The 12,811-nt window shown below is 36.5% G+C and overlaps 1 pseudogene; it reads left to right on the top strand.

Moving 5' to 3' along the window:
• Positions 3,559-5,842, top strand: NOLC1P1 (NOLC1 pseudogene 1; annotated as a pseudogene).

The following is a 12,811-nucleotide window of genomic DNA, read 5'->3' as shown; positions in this document are numbered from 1 at the left end:
TTGGAAGAAAACATCACTTAAAAAGTGAGTCTCTGGTTATTTTTCATTAATTCCCTTGTTGTTGATGATTTATTACTTGAAAGTTAGTTCCCACATATTTAGGAAGGCTCATTACCAAGAAGTTGTAAAGTCTTGCGTCCAGTAGAGAAAAATGGTGACAAAAAAAGAAAGAAAAAGAAGGGAAAAAACAAGGCCAAATTATATTATAGCAACAAACAGAAAGTAATCCTGGAAACTGATTCTATACCACCACCTTCTCAATCCAAGCAGTTATTTAGGCAATCATTATTTTAACTCTTTTAGTTGCACATTGACTCTGTTGTATGTCTGGAGCAGTCTATATATTAGTTTCTTTTAGTCTTAGAAGCATTTTCTAATTTCAGCAGCAACCTTATAGATTTTTGTGGACTGTAGTTTTAATCAGGTGTTTAAAAGAATTTTTTGAGGAATCCATGCATCAGTAGGCAGGCACACAAGTGTTGGATATCTCTGTCTGTCTATCTATCTATCTATCTATCATCTATCTATCTATCTATCTATCTATATCTATGTAGCCAGCGGGGTAGCTAGCTATAATTTTACAATATTTTTTTCTCTCTAGGTCCCCGATTTCTACAAAAGACAAATCATAGTGGGACAAATTTATTTGCAAAACAAGTTTAAGAAGATTTATACTTGACCAATGATTTGCATAAAGTGCTACAGGAATAATTATTGGCTATATAGGCTCTTTTAACTTGGCTTTGCTGGAAATTTCTTAAATAATGAATTTCAGTTTAGACTTGTTAAATGCCTCTTCAGCTTAGCCAAGCCAGTGATTTTTCTGTACCTGCAGATGTCCACGAACTGGGGACATTTCTCCCATCTCAAGTTACCAAAATTACCTGGGTTTCTTGACTCTGTCAAAAAGTGACATTTTTACTTATAACAGGTCAGAAACTTGTAAAGGAATCACATAGAAAAAGATACCAGGCCAGTCTTTCTAAGGGTATTTTACTGTCTCTCTCTAAAGTCAACCTCCACCCCTCAAAGCAGTCTGGTCATATCTGAAAACATGCCATTCCAGACAAAACCTTGGTAAAGTAACCAGTGTCTCCAACTGTGTCTGTTAACAAAAGAAAACAGATTTTTTTTTTTTTTTGAGACAGAGTCTCACTCTGTTGCCCAGGCTGGAGTGCAGTGGCATGATCTTGGCTCACTGCAACCTCTGCCTCTCAGGTTCAAGCAATTCTCCTGCCTCAGTCTCCTGAGTAGCTGGGATTACAGGTGCATGCCACCACACCTGGCTAATTTTTGTACTTTTAGTAGAGATAGGGTTTCACCATGTTGGTCAGGCTGGTCTCGAACTCCTGACCTCATGATCCGCCCGCCTCGGCCTCCCAAAGTGCTGGGATTTCCAGGCGTGAGTCACCGCGCCCAGCCAGGAAAACAAATTCTTATTGAACATATGCAAATAACTATATTGTTGTAAAATAAGAAAACTTGCAAATAGTTTCCCAATTCTGGAGAAATCAGGTACAAAGAAATATGCTTTAACTTTTGCTCACAAGAATATATATACTTTTTCAATTTGTGGTCAGCTATAAATAGCTTAACAGGAAAAGTTTTCTTAACTCTGGAAAGAAACACAAAAAGAATCGGCAATGTTTCAAACCAAAAAGTTATTTAAAAACTTTCTGGTATTTACTAGTTTAGTCCCATGCAATTAACTCCTATATTACATGATATTGGGCCAGCAGGCCTCATGAACACATCAGCTCTCCATTGAGAGTCCTGGAAGTTTTCTCTCTAGTCGAGACACACAAACCCTTTAACATTATCAGAAACCTGCATTGAAGAGCATCACAGTGCTTTTCATGAACTTTCCTAAAGAAGCTTTTGGACTGTAGCAGACCACAAACTGATTTTTTTTAGAAAAATCAAAGTAAAACAACAATTGTGTGTGCATGACAAAAATATTAGAACAGCTGTTGTTGAAGACACAATTAACAAGGAAATTTGGTTATTGCTCTGGAATACAGCAATTACAATAATAGTCATAATTATTACTGATAACATTAAGACATCAGAATTATAGAAATCTCATACAATTTGGAACACATTAATAGCACATTTATATAAACTATAACTCAAAGAAAGTTAAACATCATTTCATATTTGATAAAGCGTCCTGTATAATTTTAATACACCACATAAGCCAAATATGTCTCTCTTGAATGTTAGGGATCCTAACATCCAAAGCTGAAGGCTGAATTTAGAATATGATTTTGCAAAGTTTGTCAAATATCAAAGATTTAAAACATCTGATGTCACAAAATAGGATCATAGGTCACTGTAAAGTAACTCATTTAGCCATTTAGCCATTTAGCCAAAGTGATAATTAAAGATTTTCAAAAGCAAAATCCTTTACTCTTTAATAGAGAGGAGACTCCAATTTCCAAACGATAAGACATAATAAAAACAGCTTGATGCCAGTTTAATCTGTCTCTCTCTCTCCCCTCTTTCTCTGCCATTTACTCAAAAGGTAAAAAGAAATATTTCACTGTCTTTTAATACTACATGAAAATCTTTTTCAAAAGAGAAAACTAAATTTTACCTTTGCATTAGTGTATTATTAACACTGAAGTTAATTTTAATAAAATTTTATAAACAAATATATCTAATCTCAATCAGTGTGATCATAAGGTAAGATTTCCATAAGACTTTTATAAATTTTTATTTTTTTTTATTGAAGAACAGATCAATTTTACAGGAAAACCTTGTTATTCTGACACAGGGGCACACAGACTCTGGCGCTGTGTAAGTGTGATTTTGACATTAATGTTCAGTTTATAGGAAAACTAAATAATCCCCTTTAAATTGTAGCCAACTTGATGACACACAGAACTCCTGTCACAAGATCAATTTTTCATAAACCTTCTACAAATTGCTTAAACCTTCAGTTTTGTTCTATCACTTTAGGACAAAATTTACTTTCTTTTCCAACTTTCTGCATCTGTTTAATTTTAGCCATTATGTCTTATTAGTTTAATTTACAATTCTTAAACTCTCTAAACTAGGCAAAATTGCTTTCTCTCTAAGAGAAACCACATTCGTATGCCTTTTTATAACACTTTTATAAAAATCCCAAAACACATTGTATGTTTTGTGTGTACAATGCATATAGAATTTTCCCTGTATCTAGTAGTTTTAATGACATGTATTAATGACAATGTTAACTCTTAGTGGCCTTTATTTTTAGTGAAAAACTTAAGAGGTAAACAATTTTAGTTATGTATTAGATGCGGAGACCAAGGCAAACAATACTTGAAGCTAAGTCTTGTCATGGCCCCCAAAGGCTGAAATCTAAGGACATAAGTTTATAGACAAGTTAAGCAAGTAGAAACATAGACAGAAGCATATCTTATAGATTGTAAGATTTTTATTTGCTAGTCTTCAAATAGTTTGTCTCCCACACTTTAGACTGTCAATCTTTTGATTACCCGCTGCGTTACCCTAAATAATTGTTAAGTAGGCAACTTAAAAATAGCACCAATAGACAATGGTAGTCACATGTATGTATTGCCCAGAGGATGGCAGACACTGGCCTGTGTGGTTCCCACAGACCTGTATCCCCTTGTGCTCGACTTCCTGTGTGATAGCCAATATATTCGCCAAACCCACAGGAGCTACACAGCAGGATGCCAATGCCTCTTCCCTCTTGGATGTCTATAGCTTCTGTCTCAAGTCTGCTAAGTCCCCAAAGCAAAAGTTCCAGGCAAATAAATGGATCAGTGACTATGAAAGCTAAGAAGAAGGCTTCATCCAGTGACAGTAGTGAGGACAGCAGCAAGGAGGAGGAAGAAGCTCAAGGGCCTCCAGGTAAGAAGGCTGTGAGCAAGTTTGTCTCAGCCTCCTGGAAAGGCTATCGCCAAAGCATCAGAGAGCAGCAGCAGTGAAGCATCCAGTGATGATGAGGAGGACGACAAAAAGAAAAAGTCTGTCCAGAAGGGAGTTAAGCCCCAAGCCAAGACAGCCAAAGCTCCTCTTAAGAAGGCTAAGAGCTCTGATTCTGATTCTGATTCTGACTCAAGCTCTGAGGATGAGGCACCAAAGAAACAGAAACCAAAGACATCTGTAGCAGCTAAAGCTCGGGCTAAAGTCCCAGCCACACCAGGTACTCCAGCTCAAGCAGCACCTAAAGTAGCCAATGGCAAAGCAGCTAGCTGCAACAGTAGCAGCAGCAGCAGCAGCAGCAGCAGTGCTGACTCAAAGGAAGAGATGGCAGCAGCCATCCCCAAGAAGACTGTATCTTAAAAGCAAGTTGTGGTCAAGGTCCCAGTGAAAGCAGCTGCCACCCCTACCCAAAAATTCCAGCAGTGAGACTCCTCCGGTGAGGAGGAAGAGTAGTAGGAAAAAAAAAAAAAGAAAAAAACCCCCAGATCCCTAAAGTTCAGTGCCCCCGTCCTGCTCCCCCATCAAAGAAGTCCTTGGGAACCCAGTCTCCCAAGAAAGCTGTGGAGAAGAAACAGCCTTCCGAAAGCAGTGAAGACAGCAGCGACGAGTCTGATTCAAGTTTGGTGGAAGAGGATGAACTCTTGCTAAGTCAGTCATCTCTAAAGCAAATACTAAACAACCTCCAGCAAAGAAAGCAGCAGAGAGCTCTTCAGACAGCTCATATTCCAACAGTTCTGAGGATGATGAAGCTCTTTCCAAGCTAGCCAGTACCAGCAAGAATTCCTCAGATAAGCCAGCTGCCACTACCAAGTCACCTGCAGCGGAGCCAGCTGCAACTCTCAAGCAACCTGCAAGCAGTGGCCAGGAGCCTCTAATGAGAAAGGCTGACAGCAACTCCAGTGAGAAAGAGAGCAGTTCCAGTGAGGAGGAGAAGACAAAGATGACTGTGGCCCCCCCTAAGCCCAAGGTAACTGACAAAGCAGCTCCATATCTGCCTGCCAAGCAGGCTCCTGAGAGGGGTAAGGACAGCAGCTCTCATTCAGACAGCTCCAACAGTGAGGAGGAGGAGGAGGAAGAGAAGACATCTAAATCCCTAGTTAAGAAGAAGTTGCAGAAGGCAGCAGGAGGGACAGCCCCTTCCAAGCCAGCCTCCACAAAGAAAGGAAAGGTCAAGAGCAGCAGCAATTCTTCCTCTGATGACTCCAGTGAGGAAGAGGAAGCGAAGCCCAAGGGCAAGGACTCTCCAAGACCACAAGTCCCCAAGGCCAGTGGCACCTCTGCACTGACTGCCCAGAATGGAAAAGCAGCTAAGAACAGCAAGGAGGAGGAAGAGGAGGAAGACAAAAAGAAAAAGGCAGCAGTGGTAGTTCCCAAGCTGGGTTCAGGAAAGAAGTGGAAGCAGCTGAGACTGCCAAAGAGGCAGAGACTCCTCCAGCCAAGAAAATAAAGCTTCAGACCCCTAACACATTTCCAAAAAGGAAGAAAGAAGAAAAAGGGCATGATCCACATTCTTAAGGGTCAGGGAGGAGGAAATTCAGGTCGCAGACAACTCCATTGATGCCAACTGAGGTGCAGCCGGAGACTGGGGGAACGAGCCAATGAGGTTTTGAGGTTCACCAAAGGCAAATCCTTCTGGTATGAGAAAACCAAGAAGCAGGGCATCTCCTGGGGAGGCTCAATCTCTGTCCAGGTCAATTCTATTAATTTTGACAGTGAGTGACTTGGGATATCTTTGCTGAAGCAGGGGTGAAGATCTGAGACCACTCACTTTCTCCAGTGGACCAGGGAGCCCTCATCTCTATAGGCAAGGGTCTTGATGAGGACAGAATTTGAGAGTAGGTCCTAAGACTTTGAAATGTAACGTCCTCTGTGGTCCTTTTCTGTATTCCTAGTTTTTTTTTTTTTTTTGCTTAGAAAAAACTTTTTTATATGTATGCTTTTCTTTTTTTTTTTTTTATTATACTTTAAGTTTTAGGGTACATGTGCACATTGTGCAGGTTAGTTACATATGTATACATGTGCCATGCTGGTGCGCTGCACCCACTAACTCGTCATCTAGCATTAGGTATATCTCCCAGTGCTATCCCTCCCCCCTCCCCCCTCCCCACCACAGTCCCCAGAGTGTGATATTCCCCTTCCTGTGTCCATGTGATCTCATTGTTCAATTCCCACCTATGAGTGAGAATATGCGGTGTTTGGTTTTTTGTTCTTGCGATAGTTCCTAGTTTTATATAGACTTGTTTTTGAGTGTTGAGTATCAGGGATAAAACGAGGGGAATGTTATTTTTAAAGAAAATTTATTTTCATTGTCTCCTTCCTGTTCTGTGGAAGTCTTCATACTGAGAAATTTGAATATTTTATATTAAATCATTTCCTTTTGATTTTTGTTGTGATTTTCAAAGGTGGATTCCCACAGATATAAAGGGTCACATGTATGACCTTTTATAATTGGAAGAAAGTTCTGCCTTTGTGAGTGCACAAGTCCACATTTCATCTCTCCTTCCCTCAAAACCCTAGTGGGGGGCATTAAAGAAGGTTAATGTATATGTAATGTATGTTATACATGCACTATGTATTTTATCCTCCTTCACTGGGTCTGAGACTGAAGTTTTTAGCGAGCTCGGACCTAACCTACTGTTTTGTTCCAGGCAAAATTCTGGTGTGGTGTGAATGCCATGGGTCAGTCTGAATATATTTTCTTCTGTAATTTTATCACTATTAAATAATGTTTGCAATACGTGCTTTGCTTTTTAATGTGAAAGCAAGCTTTTCTACTGTTGAAACACAGAGTTTGGTGACTTGACCCTTACTAGTACTGAATACTAAGTTGAGGACTGCATCTTCTTATTTTCACATTATACAGAGCAAAATAACACAAAAATCAAGAAGGCTTTATTCCTGGGATGCAGGGCTTGTTCTACACATGCAAATCAATAAATGTGATTCACTCCATAAACAGAATTAAAAACAAAAAATTATTATCCTATTAGATACAGCAAAAGCTTTCAATTAAATCCAGTAAAGTTTCATGATAAAAATGTTCAACAAACTAGGCACAGAAGTAACGTACCTCAAAATAATAACAGCCATACATGACAAACCCAAAACCCACATCATACTGAATGGGCAAAAGCTGGAGGCATTTCACTTGAGGACTAGAACAAGGCAAGGATACAAGCTCTCACCATTCCTATTCAGCATAGTTGTGGAAGCCCTAGCCAGAGCAATCAGGCAAGAGAAAGAAATTTTAGGTTGGTGCAAAAGTAATAGTGGAGTTCGCCATTACTTTTAATGGCAAAACTGCGATTACTTTTGCACCAACCTTATAAAAAGCATTCAAATAGGAAGAGAGGAAGTCAAATTATCTCTCTTCACTGATAATATAATTCTATTTCTAGAGACCCTAAAGACACCACCAAAAGGTGCCTAGAGTTGATAAATAACTTCAGTAGTTTCAGGATATAAAATCAATGTACAAAGTTCAGTAACATTTCTATTCACAAATAACATTCATGCTGAAAGTCAAATCTATAATGCAATTCTATTTATAACAGCCAAAAAATATAGAATACCTAGAAATACATATGACCAAGAAGGTGAAAGATCTCTACAGGTACAGCTACAAAACACTGCTGAAGATACTCAAGGATGACACAAGCAAATGGAAAATCCTTTTATGTTCATGGATTGGAAAAAAACCGATTCTTAAATGTATATGGAACGAAAAAAAAAAAGCCTGAATAGATAATTGCAAGGAAAAAGACCAAAGCCAGAAACATCACAATACCCCACTTCAAACTATATTACAAGACTACAGTAACAGTAACAGCATGGTATTGGTACAAAAATAGACATATAGACCAATAGAACAAAATAGAGAACCAAGAAATAAAGGCACACACCTACAACTATCTGATCTTAGACAAAGTTGACAATAACAAGCAATGCAGAAAGCATTCCCTATTTAATAAATGCTACTGAGATAGCTGGCTAGCCATATGTAGAATAATGAAACTGCACCCCTGCTTTACACAATATACAAAAATTATTTCAAAATGCATTAAAGATTTAAAGGTAAGACCACACACTATAAGAAACCTAGAAGAAAACCTAGAAAATATCATTCTGGACACAGCCTTGGTGAAAAATTTATGACTAAATCTCCAAAAGCAATTGCAACAGAGACAAAAATTGACAAGTGGAACCTAATTAAAGAGCCTCTGCATAACAAAAGAACTATCAACGGAATAAACAGACAATCTACAGAATGGGAGAAAATATTCACAAACTATGCATCTGATAAAGGTATAATATCTAGAATCTATAAGGAATTTAAACAATTCAACAAGATAAAAACAAGTATCTCCATTAAAACATGGGCCAAAGGACACAAAAAGACGTTTTTCAAAAGAAGACATACATGCAGCCAACAAATATATGAAAAAGTGTTCAACATCACTAATCCCCAGAGAAATGCAAATCAAAATCTCAATGAGAAACCATCTCACACCAGTCAGAATTGTGATGATTAAAAAGTCAAAAATAACAGATGCTGGTGAGGCTGCAGAGAAAAGGGATTAATTATACGCTGTTGGTGAAAATGCAAATTCATCCATCCACTGTGTTAAGCAGACTGGATATTTATCCAAGAACTTAAAACAGAGCTACCATTCAACCCAACAGTCCCATTACTAGGTACATACCCAACAGAAAAAAAATTATCCTATCAAAATACACATGAGCTCATATGTTCGTCACAGCACTATTCACAATAGCAAAGACAATGAATCAACCTAGATGCTCATAGACTATGGACTGGATAAAGCAAGTATGGTACAGACACACCATGGAATACTATGCAGCTATAAAAATGAACAAAATCATGTTATTTGCAGCAACATGGATGCAGCTAGAGGCCATTATCCTAAGCAAATTTATGCAGGAATAGAAACTCCAACACTGCATGTTCTCACTTATAAGTAGGAGCTAAATGAACATTGAGTACATATGGAGATAAAAATGAGAACAATAGACACTGGGAAATACAAGAAGGGGGAGAGTGGGAGAGGGGAAGTGTTGAAAAACTACCTATTGGATACTATGCTCACTACCTGAGTGACAAGATTATTCATACACTGAAATTCAATGATACAAAATTTACCCATGTAACAAACCTGCACATGTACATCCACAAACTAAAATACAAGGTGATAAATAAATAAATAAATAAATAAATAAAAGCTTAATTTTTAAAACAAAGTTTGTTTCTTTATGTTTCAGGGACTCTTGGCAGAAGAGAATGGTGTGATATCATTGTTTTCCTAAGTCAATACTTCATCATACTCAACATATCTGAGTAGTAAGTACACATTTGAATAGTCCCTCTTTCTCTAGATTGTCTTTATTCTACTTAGTTTAAGCTATCTCATTTCTATATTTTATTTATTTACTTTTCATTATGAATTTTATTTTTTATTCAGAAGTCATAATTGTATAAACTTATAAGGCATAATGTGATGCTCTGATATATGTACACCATGTGGAATGATTAAATCAAGCTAATTAACTTATTTACCACCTCACTTATTTATCATTTTTTCTGTGGTAAGACATTTGAAATTCTTGGTAATTTTGAAATATACATTATTATTGACTATAGTTATCTCGTTGTGTAATAGACCTCAAAACTTATTCCTATTGTCTATCTGAAACTTTGTACCCTTTAACCAGCGACTCACCATGTCCTCTTTCCCACCCTATTCCCAGTCTCTCACAACCATCATTCTACTCTCTACTTCGCAGTTCAGCTCTTTTAGATTCCAAATGTAAGTGAGATCACGTGGTATTTATTTTTTTGTGCTTGGCTTAATTCAATTAGCACAATCCCTTCTAGATTCATCCGTTTTGTAGCAAATGACAGAAGTTTCCCTTCTGTTGAGGTTGAATAGTATTCTGTTGTGTAGATATCATATTTTCTTTACCCATTCATCTGTAGGTGAACACATAGGTTGATTCCATTTATTGTCTATAATGAATAATGCTACAATTAACATGGGATTGCAGCTATCCTTTTGACACACTGATTTCAGTTTCTTTGAATCTATACTCAGAAGTGGAATTACTGGATCATAAGATAGATTTATTTTTATTTTTTTGAGGAATCTGCATATTGTTTTCTCACCAATGACAAAAGCTATTCTAATAGGTGTGAAGTGATACCTCATTGTGGTTTCAATTTAAATTTTTCTGTGGATTAATGATGCTGAGCATTTTAAATATACAGTCATGTATTGCTTAATGATGAAAATATGTTCTGAGAAATGTGTCAGGTGATTTTGAGAACATCATATAGTGTACTTACACAAACCTAGATGGGATAGTCTACTACAAACCTCAGCTATATGGTATAGCCTATTGTCCCTAGGCTACAAACTTATACAATATGTCACTGTACTAAACACTGTAGATAAATGTAACACAATGATAAATATTTGTGTATTTAAATTTCATTCTTCTGCATGTAGATATCCAGTTGTTCAAACACCTGTCACAAAAAAGGGGTTTTTCCCACATCATGTGTTCTCAGCACCTTTGTAAAAAAATCAATTGGCCACTGATGCATGGGTTTATATCTGGGCTTTCTATTCTAATCCATTGGTCAATGGGTCTATTTTTATGGCAGTATCATGTATCATGGTGTTTTAGTTACAATTATTTTATAATTTTTTTTTAAATCAGGGAGTTTGGTGCCTCCAGCTTTCTTGTTTCTGTCCAAGATCGTTGGCTATTCAAGGTCTTCCATAGTTCCATACAAATTTAAAGATGATTTAATCTACCTCTGTGAAAAAAATGACATCTGAATTATGATAGGGATTATGGTGAATCTGTAGATTGCTTTGAGTAGCATGGCAATTTTCACAGTATTATTTCTTCAAATCCATGAATGTGGGATATCTTTCTACATGGGCTATCTTTCTATTTATTTGTGTTTTCTTCAATTTTTTTATTGATGCCTTTTATTTTTCAGTATAAAGGTTTTCTATCTCCTTTAATACATGTATACCTAAGTTTTTTGCTCTTGTAAATAAAATTATATCTTAATTTTCTTTTTAGATAGTTTATTATTAGTACTAAAAATATTATTGATTTATGTATGTTGGCTTTGTGATCTGCAAGTTTACTGAATTCGTTTACCATTCTAAAAGTTTTTGGCAGAGTTTTTAGGGTTTTCTATATGTAAGATCATGTCACCAGCACATAAAGACAAATTCGCTTCTTCCTTTTATGTTTGTATACTTTTTCTTTCTTTCTCTTGCCTAAGTGCTCTGGCTATGATTCCCAAAACTATGTTGAACAAAAGGGGTGAGAGTAGAGTAATGTTAGCTATGGGCTTATTAGTATGGCCTTTATCATTCCCTCTCTATATAATTTATTGAGAGTTTTCCTTGTAAAAGGATGTTGAATTTTGTCAAATGCCTTTGCCACATCTGTTGAGATAATCATATGGTTTTTGTCCTTCATTCTGTTAATGTGATCTATCATGTTGTTATATTTGCAACATTCAACATACGTTGAATTATTCTTGCATTCCAAAGATAAATCTCCCTTGATAATTGTGAATAATTTGTTTCACTATGCTGTTGAATTTGGTTTGCTAATGCTTTGTTGAGGATTTTTGCATTTCTGTTCATCAAAGATATTTGTCTGTAATTTTCTTTTGTAGTGTCCTAGTATATATTTTTAATTAAGCTTCTATTTGATGAACATGTAAAATTATTAGAAAAAGTAAACACGTTTCTAGGATTATTTTTTCCTTTTTTTCTCAGTATTATACTCTTTTTTAAAATTTCAAATTCAAGCTTCTCATAAATAGTATTGGTTTATGCTTCCTGAGAAACTCCTATACTTCCAGTATGTCCTTAGTTCAATTTTGTGATACACCTTAAATAAACGTTAGAAACCATATGGTGAAGGTGGTTGTCTCTCAATTTTTGTTACAGCATGTAGCACACAGCCACGAAAATGTTTACTCTCTAAATTTCAGGTACTATTCAAGGGATCTGGCTGCATATGGAAAAGTCCACCATCCTCTATCTGAAACTCTTAGGGTCATATGCATGCGAAATTACCATTTTTCTTCTGATTTTAGAAAGGTGAGTATTGCATAGACTATATATTATGTAGCCCACCAGTGAGAGTCCAGAATAGCACCTTATAATCAAGCAAATTAGTATGTCTACAGCTAAATGAATGTTCACACTGGATAAGATAAAGACTATAAATGGATTTATGTCAGTTCTTCAAATGAATCAAATGAGTTACAAATATTATCAAGTAGAAAAGAAAGATTTTCAGATAGAAGACTTATTTATTCAAGAAACTTTAATGACACTGTTGACTATAGAGATGAAAACACAATTTTATAAGGAAGGAGATCACAGATGAGTGTAGTATAATAATTCAATCCCAGCACTTTGGGAGGCCAAGGCGGGCAGATCATGAGGTCAGGAGATCGAGACCATCCTGGCTAACACAGTGAAACCTCGCCTCTACTAAAAATACAAGAAAAAAAAAAGGGAGTCTAGCTATATATAATATGCTACGGTCACAAAGAAAAAAATACACCAAATCTAGTTTAAGGGATTGGGAATAATTTTCAGAACAGGGCAACTCTCAAATATACTCTTGACAAGTATGAACATAAACTGAAGAAGGGAAGAGAGAGGGAATAAAGTTGCTGGCAAAGAGAACATTTTTCAAGGCAGCAAATGTGATCAGGAAGGAACAAGAAAAGGATGGATAAGAAAAAGCTGAAGTCAGCATCATGTTTGACTCTTTAGAAGCAAACCATTTATCTTCAGTCTATTGTGTTATT

Source organism: Homo sapiens, chromosome X (genome assembly GCF_000001405.40).
Source record: "Homo sapiens chromosome X, GRCh38.p14 Primary Assembly".
Lineage (NCBI taxonomy): Eukaryota > Metazoa > Chordata > Mammalia > Primates > Hominidae > Homo > Homo sapiens.
The sequence above is the reverse complement of the archived record's forward strand: the minus strand, read 5'-3'. Positions and strand labels throughout refer to the sequence as shown.